The sequence below is a fragment of the Homo sapiens genome, chromosome 19 (assembly GCF_000001405.40).
Source record: "Homo sapiens chromosome 19, GRCh38.p14 Primary Assembly".
Classification (NCBI taxonomy): Eukaryota; Metazoa; Chordata; class Mammalia; order Primates; family Hominidae; genus Homo; species Homo sapiens.
In genome coordinates, this window is record NC_000019.10 from 11,190,956 (window position 1) to 11,202,851 (window position 11,896).

Genomic DNA, 11,896 nt, shown 5'->3' on the forward strand with positions numbered 1-11,896 from the left:
CCTGGCCTCAAGTGATCTGCCTGCCTCTGCCTCCCAAAGTGCTGGGATTACAGGCGTGAGCCACCGTGCCCAGCCAGCTGTCATTATTATTATTAATTATTTTGAGATACAGTTTCACTCTGTCGCCCAGGCTGGAGGGCAGTGGTGTGATCTTGGCTCACTGCAACCTCCGCCTCCCGGGTTCAAGCGATTCTCCTGCCTCAGCCTCCGGAGTAGCTGGGACTACAGGTGTGCGCCACCACGCCCGGCTAATTTTTGTATTTTTAATAGAGATGGGGTTTCACTGTGTTGGCCAGGCTGGTCTTGAACTCCTGGCCTCAAGCGATCCACCTGCCTTGGCCTCCAAAGTGTGGGATTACAGGCGTGAGCCACTGCGCCCGGCCCAGCTGTCATTATTATGAGTCATTTGGGTGGCTTCTCCCAGGGACCTCAGGACAACCCAGCAGCTGACATTCTGCACAGCCGGCATCCCCTTTCCTGGCATGAGGACTCAGTACTTCCTCTGGGAAGCACCCCCTTCCTCCCTCAAAGGCCACAGGGCTTGGGTGGGGCTCCCCTACCCCCGGCGTCCATGGCTAGGCAGACAGGGACACCGTGATTGGCTCAGCAATGGGCACATGACCCAGGCCAGCCAATGAGGGCCCCCTCTGGGATTTTTACTGGTGCTCTTTGGATTAAGGATCTCCCTCTCCACTAAACTGGACAGACAGATGCCTGGAGCAGTGAGGTCACTTTCCCTTGCCTGCCTGAAAGAGAAGCTCCCAGGGAAAACAAGAAGAGAAAGGCACCAAGTTAGATTCCTGATGATATCTGAGCACTGAGGCCAGCGTGGTGGCTCATGCTTGTAATCCCAGCACTCTGGGAGGCCAAGACAGGAGCATCATTTGAGCCCAGAAGTTTGAGACCAGCCTGGGCAACATAACAAGACTTTGTCTCTACAAAAAATAAAAAAAATTAACGAGGCACAGTGGTGCATGCCTGTAGACCCAGCTACTTGGGAGGCTAAGGCGGGAGGATTGCTTGAGCCTAGGAAGTCAAGGCTGCAGTGAGCCATGATTACACCAACTGCACTCCAGCCTGGGCAATGGAGCGAGACTCTATCTCTTAATAACGACAACAAGAACAAGATATTTGTGCACCTGGATCCAGCCATGCCTGAAGCTGTCATCAGTTACGTAATAACACATTTCCTTTTCACTGCTTGAACAGCTCCGAGATTGATTCCTGCCACTTACTGAATAAACAGGGAGGTTTCTGCCTGGTAAACCAACAGCCTTGGGGAACTTTCCCCCAAATACCTCCCACTTTCTGGATACTGACAAAGTGGCAGTCACCTAATTTCTCTGCATGGTTGCTACAGCCCTGAGGGTTGGCTGCACAATTCTCCTCCTTTTGTGGATGATAAGACAGAGACTCTAAGAGTTGGACTGATGTGTCTGGTGGAAGGTCGGGGGCTGGGGCTGGACCTTGGCATTCTTTTTTTTTTTTTTTTTTTTTGAGACAGAGTCTCCCTCTGTTGCCCAGGCTGGAGTGCAGTGGTGTAATCTCAGCTCACTGCAACCTCCGCTTCCCTAGTTCAAGCGATTCTCCTGCCTCAGCCTCCTGGGTAGCTGAGGTTTACAGGCGCACGCCACCACACCTGGCTAATTTTTGTATTTTTAGTAGAGATGGGTTTCACCATGTTGGCCAGGCTGGTCTCCAACTCCTGACCTCAAGTGATCTGCCCGCCTCGGCCTCCCAAAGTGCTGGGATTACAGGCATGCGCCACCGCACCCTGCCTGGACCCTGGCGTTCTGAGAGTCCAGGATGAGCCATGGGAAGAAAGAGGCCCCCCCCCCCCAAGCCATTCTCCCCTGCCTGCCTGCGACCGCTTACCTGCTGCTCCATCGCAGCTTCGCTCTGTGATGCTAATCTTCTTCACCATATGGACGTTGCTGGTAGCTGCAGCGGGCACTGGGCACATTGTCTCCACCACCTCCTGGCTGCGGAACACAGGTGGGCTCTCAGGCCTACCAGGCATTGCCAGGGCCCTCAGCCCTGTGCCGTAAGGCTCCAGGCTCTGGGCCCGCTGTGCGGGGGCGCCAGCGGCTGTGCTGGCCACCACCTCCACCTCCCGTGGCCCTTCTACCACCCGGACTGTATCCACGCGGACCGGGCTGTCCGGCGGTGGCCAGGCCTGGGGCTGGGGGTCAGCCTGCCGGGCCTGAGCTGCCTGCAGCTCCTGCAGCGCCTTCTTGAGCTGGGTCTCCAGCACAGCGACCTTGGCGGCGAGGGCAGCCTCCCCATCAGGCATGCCCAAGTCCCGTTCTCGAACCCAGGTGCCCACACTCCGGGTCTCCAGTGCCACTGGGTCCTCTGGGGGATCGGGGAGGTCCAGGCAGAGCTCGCTGCGACCCCGGCCCGCTGTGGGGTGGCCCAGGAACTTCTGGCTCTTAAGTTGTACTGTGAGCTGCCGCTTTTCCTCCTGGAGCACCGAGAGCTTCACCTGGAGCACAGGGATCAGCTTCACCTGCTCCTCCAGCTGCCGCAGCTTCCGCAGGGCACCCGCCATCTGCTCCCGCACGTGGGCCAGGTGCCCGGCACTGGGAGGCACCGGTGTGGACAGTCCTGAACTCCGTGGTGTCGGGGGTGGCAACCCCACGCCCACCAGGGAGGCTGTCGAGCCGGCCGCACTGGGGGTCAGGGAGCCCAGGCCGGTGGGTGTGGCCGCCTGGTCCTCGAGACGGCGACGGGCATCCAGCAGCGTGCGCTCCACCCGCGGATTGAAGCCACCGCGGGTCTCCAGAGCACCATACTGAGGGTAGAAGCCACGGCCGCAGTAGGAATAGGCTGAGTGGCGGCTGTCCCCACTGGCATTGGAGCACAGCGACTCAGTGGACGTCCACCAGGAGCCAGGGCCACGGGGCAGCGAGCTCAGGCGGGGGCGGCGCTGCACTGCCACGCGTCGCAGCGTGTGGCCCTTCTCGATGTCATCCACGTACTTGAGGAAGTCCAGGTCCAGGCGGTAGCCATAGGGGGTCTCCACGGAGTAGGGTGGATCGGGGTCCTTGGCAGGGAAGGCAGGTGGGGAGGCTGGGCCAGGGGTCCCTGGGGATGGGAGAAACACCAGGACCTTTGAATCCTCTTGTCCCCATTCTCAGGGTGAAGACTGATGCCTGGGGAGAGTTGGGGTTTATTTGCCGAAGAGATGGGAGCCCACCTGGTACTCAACCGCGTCTGCTCTCAGACCCTCCAGAGCAGGGCTATGCCTCCCCTTCAGACTCCCGGCGCTAGGCTATGTCGCCTCTCAAATCCCCCAGGACAGGGCTCTATCCCTCGGCTTAGACTACCCCCTTTTTCCGGTAAGACTCTGCCTCCCCCTTCAGACCCTCCCAGGGCAGGACTCTGCCTCCTCCCTCAGACCTCTAATTGTTGGGCTGTGTCCCACCCTCAAAGTCCCCAGGGCAAGGTCCCCAGCCCCCTCAGGCCTCCAGAACTGAAGCTCCCCGGGGCAGGGCCCTCTTCCCTGAGTCCCCTGACCTGGGAAGGGAGCAGGCACGTGCAGGACCTGGGCCATCTTCTTTTCTACAGATGCTCCTTGGAAGTCACTTGAGGGACTGCGAGTCAGACTGCCTGCAGCACCGGCTGAGGCTTACCTGGGGAAAGAGAACCACGGCGCCGGGAGTTAGGAGTCTGTAGGGGGAGGGGAGGAGATGAGGCCAGCCCCCTCCACAGCTGGTTCACCCAGCCCCCCAACCCAGGTCTGGGACCCACTCATAGACGCACACCCAGCCTGGCTGCGGAAGGGCCCCCCCCGACCCCCTCCCCCCCGCAGGTCTGGAACAAAGAAACCAAACCTCACTGCCTGCTTGCACATCTGTCCAGGCCCTGGACAGGCTCCAGCTGTTCCCATAGCCCAGCCTCCACATAGCCCTGGGGCTGGGGGGCCCCAAGCCCAACAGGCCCCACCCTTCCTGCACCCCCTCCCCTCAGCCCAGGCCCGGAGCTGGCCACACGGAAGGATGGGGGTTGAGGCGCTAAGGGGTTGGGGAAGAAGGGAACCTCGTCTTCCTGCAAGGATCTGAGGAGACAGAGACGCAGGGGGACAAAGAGAGGCAAAGCATGGCGAAGGGGACCCCCAGTGACCCCAAAGCTGAGAGCTGGGTCAGGCCTGGACTGGGTCGGGGGGAAGGGGTAGGGAAAGTTGGGGAGGCAGCTAGGAGTGAAGCCTTTCCCCTTTATGGAAACAATTTTCTCTAAAAATAAACAGTTTCACTGCCGGGCTACACAGAACTTCCTGCCCGCCTAGGATGCGTCCGGGCCCAGGGGCGCAGTAGGGATAGAGGGCCGGGTGGAGGCCCAGGAAGTCCTGGGGGTGGAGGGGAGGAAGTAAGAGGGGGCGCCTGGAGGCTGCAAAAGGGAGGGACAGTCAGAGCCTCTCACTAAACCCCCCTCAGCCTTGGAGGCCGGCCAGGGCTCTTTTGTCCCCAATATAACCCATCTGAACTTGGCTGGTCCTTTCTGTTATCTGACCTCCAGCCATCATGCTGCAGAGGCCCCAGCCCATCCCACCATCAGAGTAAATCCTTTCTGGCCTTTGAGTGCTGGGGCCGGCAGGTACCTTGGGAGGATGGGCCAGGTAGGGCACCTGCTGGGCATGAAGGCAGGGCTGGGGCTCCAGGGGCACCTGAGCTTGTCCTTGTTCTCCCGTCCTGTCTTGCTTTGTCTCTCTCCAAGTCTCTCTGTGTCTCTCCACGTCTCTCTGTGTCTCTCCACGTCTCTGTCTCTCTGCGTCTCTCTCCACGTCTCTGTCCTTCTGCGTCTCTCTCCGTGTCTCTCTCCCTGTCTTTCCACGTCTCTGTCTTCGCTTCTCTGTCTTTCAACACCTGGAACACATGGTCACCAATTGCAGGAAATTCCGTTTTCCATTTGCCTGGAGGCTCACCCCTGAGCAACAGAAAGTTGATTGAAAATATTTTCTGGCCACCAAAGAGAGATGGAGAAGCAGGGAGCAAGCGGGATTGGAGCAGGATTGGAATAGCCGAGCGGGGTGGGCTGGGGGTGGGGGAAGTGAGGGTGCTGCTGGGTAAATAGTATAGTAACAGTAATACTAACATCAACTCTTTTTTTTTTTTTTTTCTGAGACGGAGTTTTGCTCTTGTCGCCCAGGCTGGAGTGCAATGGCGCGATCTCAGCTCACGGCAACCTCTGCCTCCCAGGTTCAAGCGATTCTCCTGCCTCAGCCTCCTGAGTAGCTGGGATTACAGGCACCTGCCACCACGCCTAGCTAATTCTGTATTTTTAGTAGAGATGGTGTTTCTCCATGTTGGTCAGGCTGGTCTCGAACTCCTGACCTCAGGTGATCCGCCCGCCTTGGCCTCCCAAAGTGCTGGGATTACAGGCATGAGCCACTGCACCCAGCCTAACATCAACTCTTTTAATTGTCATGACAATTCTATGAGATGGGCACTTATCGCCCCGTTTCACAGACAGGGGATGCAGAGGGTACAGAAAGGTACAGTGGCTTCCTCGGGGTCACTGGGGCCATGGGGAAGTGGCTGGGCCTGAACATGAACCTAAGCCTGGTGGATCCCCCCACTGCCCACCAAGCCACCACCCTCAGACTCCACATCAGATATCTCTACCCGTTTCCCAGATACGGAGACTGAGGTCTGAGGGTACTCAGTCATCTCACCGCCCTCGATGAGGACCAGCACGTCCCGAGTAAGGGGAAGAGAAAGGAGACGAGGGGGTGTGGTGGGGGAGATGGATGTCTGTGGCTGAGACCCTTCTCTCGCCATGGGACCCCTGGGGAATGGGGAAGGGGTGACAGGATAAGACAGAGATGGAGAGACTGGAGCCTATAAGAGGGGACAGGTAGGGAGCGCAGGGAAGGGGCGCGGGTCTCCCCAACCCACCACCCAAGACCGGCCTGCACATCGCGGAGGTCGGTGGTGGTGGTGGGGGGGGGTCTTCCCGCCCCAAACTCGGGGTGGGGGGAGGCGAGAAGGACCCCGCCCCGTGCAGAGAGGGGGCGGGGCCTGTGGGATCCCGGGCTAATGGCAAACAGCTGCCGCTCCCCACGCCGGCCCAGCCGCCAAGCCCAGGCCCAGCCCGGCCGGACGCCCGGCCGCCTTCCCGCCGTCTGGGGCATGGCCGCGGAGGAGGGCGAGGGGGGACAGTGCGGGGAGAGGGCAGAGCCGGGGAGGAACAGAGGCAGAAAGTGGGACAGAGACAGGGGAGAGCGGGCAGAGGGGAGCCAAGACAGGAGAAACGGGCAGGGCACGAGGAATCGATGGGGGGTACTGGGAGGAATCGATGGGGGTATGGGGTCAAAGACGAGGAGGGGGCAGGGACGCGGGGACAGACACTCCAAGTCTGGAAAGTTTGGGCACAGAAGGTGGAGTTGGAGGCAGCGGCTCGTTGAGACCAGCGAGGTCGTGTCCCAGGGTTGGAGGCGGGGGGTAGGGTAGTAGGTGTGTGTGGAGGGGGTGCACACTCGATCCCCGAACCAGACTTGAACCCCTACCCAGCCCCGGGTCCCACTCGCCTTGCGCGCTCCGGCCGCTGCCTTCCCTGGGTCCCGCCGCCCGAGCGTCTTCGCGCGCGCCGCAGCCTGGGCGCCCGGCCCTCGGAGGTGGCTCCGCCCGCACCACGCCCCCTCCGGCTGGTCCCGCCCCCCCAGCCGGCACCGCCCCCTCCAGCCGCCCGGGCGCCCCGGCCGCGGTGGGGGGTGGGGATGGAGAGACGCTGGTTGGAGACTGGATCTCACCTGGACAGCAGGTGTGTGTGCGCGCCGGGGTGTCCGGCCTCGTCCTTCCTTCCTCCCTAAGTCCCCGAGGCAGGGTCCTCCCACTGCCGGCCTCCCCCCCACCGCCTGCTGTCCCTGGGCCGCTGCGGGGGGCGGAACGGCTCGGCGGCGGGAGGGGGTGGAGCTGGCCGGGGCCCAGCTCGGGGAGGGCGCGCGGGGCGGGCGCGGCAGCGGGAGGTCACCCCTCCCCCAGGCGGCCCAGGGCTGGAAGCGGCCCAGCGCAGTCCTGGCACACGGTGGCGTGACCGCCGCGCGAGAAGGGAGGCTGCAGAGTCCTGGGCGCCGGCGCCAGCCAGACCTGCATTCCCATCCCAGACCCACCAAACTTTTGCTGCTCTGTGCCTCAGTTTATTCATCTGTAAAATGGAGATGATCATGTTAGCTACCTGATAGGAGCGTTGAGAAGATTCACTGACCATTAGGAAGGGGCCTAACCATCAGGAAGGAGGCCCTTCGGGTTAAAAACTCTCATAAATGGAGTGGCCTACTTTTGCAGAGATCTTTCTGGGAGCCCTTTTAGTACACAGCCAGCCACTCAGCAAGGGCTTAATAAATATTATTAAGCCGGCGAGGTGGCTCACACCTGTAATCTCAGTGCTTAGGGAGGCCAAGGCAAGAGGACTGCTTGAACTCAGGAGTTCGAGACCAGCCTGGGCAACATAGCAAGACCCTGTCTATGCAAAAAAATTTTTAAGTGAAAAAAAATTAGGCCAGGCGCAGTGGCTCATGCCTGTAATCGTAGCACTTTGGGAGGCCAAGGTGGGCGGATTATTTGAGCCAAGGAGTTGGAGACCAGCTTTGGCAATATGGTAAGACGCCATCTCTACAAAAAACAAAATACAAAAAACCACCTGGGGCCGAGAAATGGCTCATGCCTGTAATCCCAGCACTTTGGGAGTCCGAGGTGGGTGGATCATCTGAGGTCAGGAGTTCAAGACCAGCCTGGCCAACATGGTGAAACCCCTTCTCTACTAAAAATACAAAAACTATCCTGGCATGGTGGTGCACATCTGTAATCCCAGCTACTCGGGAGGCTGAGGTATGAGAATAACTTGAATCTGGGAGGTGGAGGTTGCCGTGAGCCGAGATTGCACCACTGCACTGCAGCCTGGGTGACAGAGTGAAACTCTGTCTAAAAAAAAAAAAAAGAAAAAGAAAAAAAAGCCAGGCACAGTGGCATGTGCCTATAATCTCTGCTACTCAGGAGGCTTGAGCCCCGGAGTTTGAGGCTGCAGTGAGCTATGACTGTGACACTGCATTCCAGCCTGGGGGACTGAGTGAGAGCGTCTGTTAAAAACAAACAAACAAAAACCAGGTATTGTTATTGCAGGTAAGCATGTGACATTATTTGTGTGTTGCCTTCCCTACTAGAACATCAGCTCCACAAGGGCAGGAATTTTTGCCTGTTGTCACCACGATGTCCCTGGCACCCAGTATGTTCTTGGTGTCCCCATTGATGATGCAGGGATGTGTGGATATGGGGCAGTGGACTGTGAGCATGTGATGAGCATGTGACCCAGCCCCTAGTGACCGCACCACATGGCACAGGTTGCTTATAAAAACCATTTTAAATTAAAAAAGGGAGGAAGCATCAGTGCACACAGATGGGGACACAGGGGCAGAGGGCCCAGCCCCAAGTACAGTGTGGTCACCCCACAGCCCAGTGGGCACCAGGGCAGACTCCCCTCGCAGCACAGACAGCTGAGGCCCGGGTGCTGGTTCCTCTAGGTACAGCTTTGGTCCTTGTGGGCTCAGAGGTCTGCCTTTCGGAAACTTGCTCTGTTCAAGGAGTTCCTGGAAAAAGAATGAGGGTGGGTCAGCATGGCCATGGGGCCCCCAACTCCATAGACCTCCCAGCCCACATCCTCTTCCTCCTCCTCCTCGTCTTCCTCCAAGGATCCTTCTGGGATCTCTCCTGTCCCTGATCTGGCTGTGGGATTCTCCGATTCTCTCTTGCAGTCCACCACGGAAGGTATGAATCATCCCCATTTTACAGATGTAGAAACTGAGGCTCAGAAAGATGAATTCATGTATCTGGGAAATGACTGCTCAGAGCCTGCCCTGCCTTTGTACATCTGGATGACATATTCAGATGCTTATGCAAAATTGAAGCCACCGCAGCCAGGCGTGGTGGTGGCTCATGCTGTAATTCCAGCACTTTAGGAGGGCAAAGCGGATGGATCACCTGAGATCAGGAGTTCGAGACCAGTCTGGCCAACATGGTGAAACCCTGTCTCTACTAAAAATACAAAACATTAGCCAGGCGTGGTGGCAGATGCCTGTAATCCCAGTTACTCAGGAGGCTGAGGCAGGAGACTCGCTTGAATCTGGGAGGCGGAGGTTGCAGTGAGCCAAGACTGTGCCAACTGCACTCCAGCCTGGGCAACAGAGGGAGAGTCTCTCAAAAAAAAAAACAAAAAAAAAACCGGAAACAAAACAAAGTCCAAGCTACCAGCAAACATGTTGCTGTGTATGTGTACAACAGCCCCCATCCTGTACCTGTCCTGGTCTGCCTCTGCATCCCCTCTCTAGTCTCTAGGATGGGGGCACTAGGTCAGGCACCTGAGGCCGGGTGGGGTGGGTGCCATCAGCTGGGGCAGGCGCTGGGTAAGCAGGGGCTGCAGAGCCTCCCGCAGGCGGCAGTAGTTGCGCTCCAGCTCACGGTGGTACTCCTTCTGGTCCGGCCCAATCAGGGCCTTATTTTTCCGCAGCGCATCCTCACATCTGAGGGCCAGAGGGTGGGAGATGCTCAGAGACTCGCACACGGGACTGAAAGCAAGACTAGGGGTGGGGGCACCCATAAGGCGGGACCAGGCCTGCAGAAAGACCCGCAATAGGAGGTCAGGTTGGGAGAGTGGACTTAATGGGAATCGGGCAGATGGGGGAGCCATGCAGAGATCAGATGGGCAGAGAGCAGGCCTATGCAGGTTAGGCAGACACGAGACCCCTCCTGGGGGGTTTTGCGCCTACTTCTTGCAGAAGTCCTTGAAGCAGAGCCGCAATTTGTTGTGATGCCGGAAGAGCTTGGGGTCTTCCGGGATCTCTGCTAAAAACACCTGGGCCACCTCCAGGGGACCCTGTGGGGTGAGAGGGACTGGTGAGCCAGCCTGCATGGCACCTGGAGTCCCCCGTGCGGCTTGCATCCCCCTTCCACCAGCCGTGCCTGGTTCACGGTGGGCCCTACAGAGCCCTGAAGCACCATCTGTAGCATCTTAGCATCTGGTGGGTCCTGCTCGGTGGCAAAGGCCAGCTCCCGTGTCTTCTTCTGCATGTCCTCGATGGCCACCTCCACTGGCGTCAGCACCGTCTGTGGGGTAAGGGGAGGGGTGTGTACTCGCTGGGGCCTGAGGAGGTCCTGATCGAAGCCAGTCGGGGGCAGCTCAGACCCCGCTGGGAGTGAGAGGGGTCCAAGAACCCAGGCAATGAACAGAATCTGGGGGCCTTCCTGGGTCTGACTCTGGGGGGGTCCAGCCTTGGGTCTGCTGGGTCTGGTGCCCTGGGGTCCAGGGGCTTTACCTCTGGGGTCTCCAGACTTCCTTGGGTCTGGAGGTAGAGATTTGGACTGGAAGTTGGAGTTTGGGGTCCCCAACCTGGTTCTGGGGTACATGAGCCAATTTCTGGGTCTAGCGTGTCCACGCCTCTCCTCTCTGGGTCTGGAATCCCTGGGCTTCTCCTCCCTGGGCCTTCTTAGATTTGGAGTCCCTGTGCCTCCCCTTTGTGAGTCTAGAATCCCTGGGTCCTCCTGGGTCTGGAGGTAGAGGTTTCAGTTTAGAGATTGGAATGCAGGGTCTCCATATCTTCTCAGCCCAGTTCTGGGGTACCTGGGCCTCTTCCTGGGCCACACCTCTCCTCCCTGGGCCTTCCTAGATCTGGGCTCCCTCTGCCTCCTCTTTCTGGGTCTGGAATCCCTGGGCCACCCTGGGTCTGGGGTCCCTGCATCTTGCCTCCCAGGTCTCCCTGGGTCTGGTCTCCTCCCCTCCCCTCCCTGGGGATCTGGTCTAGGGTCCCTGTGCCACCCCTCTCTGGGTCTGAGGTCCGTGAACCACCTTGGGTCTGGGTCCCTGTGTCTACCCTCCCCTCCCCTCCCAGGGTCTGATGTCCCCTCACCTCCCCACCCCCGCCAGGCCCAGGATCCCCACCCACCTCCTCCCGGTGGCACACACGGATGCGAGTCTTGATGTAGGGGAAGGCGTGGTCGGTGCTGAGCAGCGTCTTACGCTTGTGTTGCTCGGGCAGCTCCCCGTGTGCGCGCCCATCCGGCGTGAACGGCGTGCAGAACAGGAATGTGCGAAGCCCATAGTTGCGGTCAAAGTAGGTCACCCGGTCCTTGAGCTCGTAGGTATCAAAGTACGGTTCCACATACGTGATCTGGATGTAGGCCTGGGCGCAGGGTCAGGTGTGAGGATCCCACAGCCCCAGCACGCACAGCCCAAGCCCTGTTCCTGGAGAGAGGGGATCTGGGGACTTTGTCATTTCCAAGTCTTCCTATGTCTGGATGTTTGGGAATCCCCTGAGGAATAGGTTTTGGGGTCCCTCAGTGAAATATGATTTGGGGTTTCCCAGAGAAAGAGGATTTGAGGGTCCCCAGGAAACAGCACTTGGAGTCTCTGTGAATCTAAGATTTTGGGGAAATGGTTGGGGGACCCACCTTTTGTGAGTCAAGCTTGGACTTGTCCACAGGGTTAGAGTCTTTGATAATCTCAACGACGTCGTCGCCAAATCTCTCCGTGTAGAACTCCTGGAGACACAGGGCTGACTCGGGGCCACCCAGGGACAGCCCCTACTCCAGCCCCAAGGCAGCCCCATGCCCCGTTCCACCCCCAACCACAAGGACGTGCCTCCAGCCGGTGTGAGATCTCTGCCAGCTTCGTGATCGATGGCTCCTTGTACACAAACTCCTGCTCATCCAGGTCACCGAAGTGGGCGCCGTAGAAGCCCACGCGGAAATACGTCCCGAACACGCGCTGGGGCTGTGAGAAAGGGTGTGGTTGTCCGGGAGGCCCCTGCTGGAGGTCTCCCTGCCCCAGAGATAGGTGTCTCGAATATCAGGATGGGAGTGTGAGGACCCCGAGAACATCAGGGCATGGGCACAGGCAGGGGGCCCTG

General features: G+C 59.1%; 2 protein-coding genes across 36 annotated transcripts in view, besides 2 other annotated features; both read right to left on the reverse strand.

Moving 5' to 3' along the window:
* Positions 1-6,910, reverse strand: part of KANK2 (KN motif and ankyrin repeat domains 2) — a 33,596-nt gene extending 26,686 nt beyond the window's left edge. For 2 of the 28 annotated variants that reach the window (XM_047438572.1, XM_047438569.1), the window contains exons 1-5: positions 6,752-6,910; positions 5,095-5,272; positions 4,601-4,926; positions 3,520-3,635; positions 1,876-3,087 (exon numbers count right to left, since the gene is read on the reverse strand). In XM_047438572.1, the coding sequence (XP_047294528.1) occupies positions 1,876-3,087; positions 3,520-3,556 (1,249 nt within the window). In that variant the 5' untranslated portion in view covers positions 3,557-3,635; positions 4,601-4,926; positions 5,095-5,272; positions 6,752-6,910. Of the gene's footprint in view, positions 1-1,875; positions 3,088-3,519; positions 3,636-4,600; positions 4,927-5,094; positions 5,273-6,508; positions 6,591-6,751 lie in introns of those variants that run through there. The other 26 variants (NM_001379557.1, NM_001379551.1, XM_047438576.1 and 23 more) reach the window with 17 other exon arrangements.
* Positions 521-570: a silencer, noted in NCBI's record as "silent region_10102". NCBI's record gives its function as "represses an Ori minimal core promoter by ATAC-STARR-seq in GM12878 lymphoblastoid cells {active_cell/tissue: GM12878}" and the evidence as "EXISTENCE:reporter gene assay evidence [ECO:0000049][PMID:35858748]".
* Positions 6,454-7,073: a silencer, noted in NCBI's record as "silent region_10103". NCBI's record gives its function as "represses an Ori minimal core promoter by ATAC-STARR-seq in GM12878 lymphoblastoid cells {active_cell/tissue: GM12878}" and the evidence as "EXISTENCE:reporter gene assay evidence [ECO:0000049][PMID:35858748]".
* DOCK6 (dedicator of cytokinesis 6) overlaps positions 8,340-11,896 on the reverse strand; it is a 63,230-nt gene continuing 59,673 nt past the window's right edge. For all 8 annotated transcript variants that reach the window (NM_020812.4, XM_047439124.1, NM_001367830.1 and 5 more), the window contains 7 exons: positions 11,629-11,754; positions 11,439-11,528; positions 10,934-11,170; positions 9,954-10,097; positions 9,761-9,867; positions 9,353-9,514; positions 8,340-8,584 (listed from right to left, as the gene is read on the reverse strand). In NM_020812.4, coding sequence (NP_065863.2) covers positions 8,542-8,584; positions 9,353-9,514; positions 9,761-9,867; positions 9,954-10,097; positions 10,934-11,170; positions 11,439-11,528; positions 11,629-11,754 — 909 coding nt within the window. In that variant the 3' untranslated portion in view covers positions 8,340-8,541. The remainder of the gene's footprint in view (positions 8,585-9,352; positions 9,515-9,760; positions 9,868-9,953; positions 10,098-10,933; positions 11,171-11,438; positions 11,529-11,628; positions 11,755-11,896) is intronic.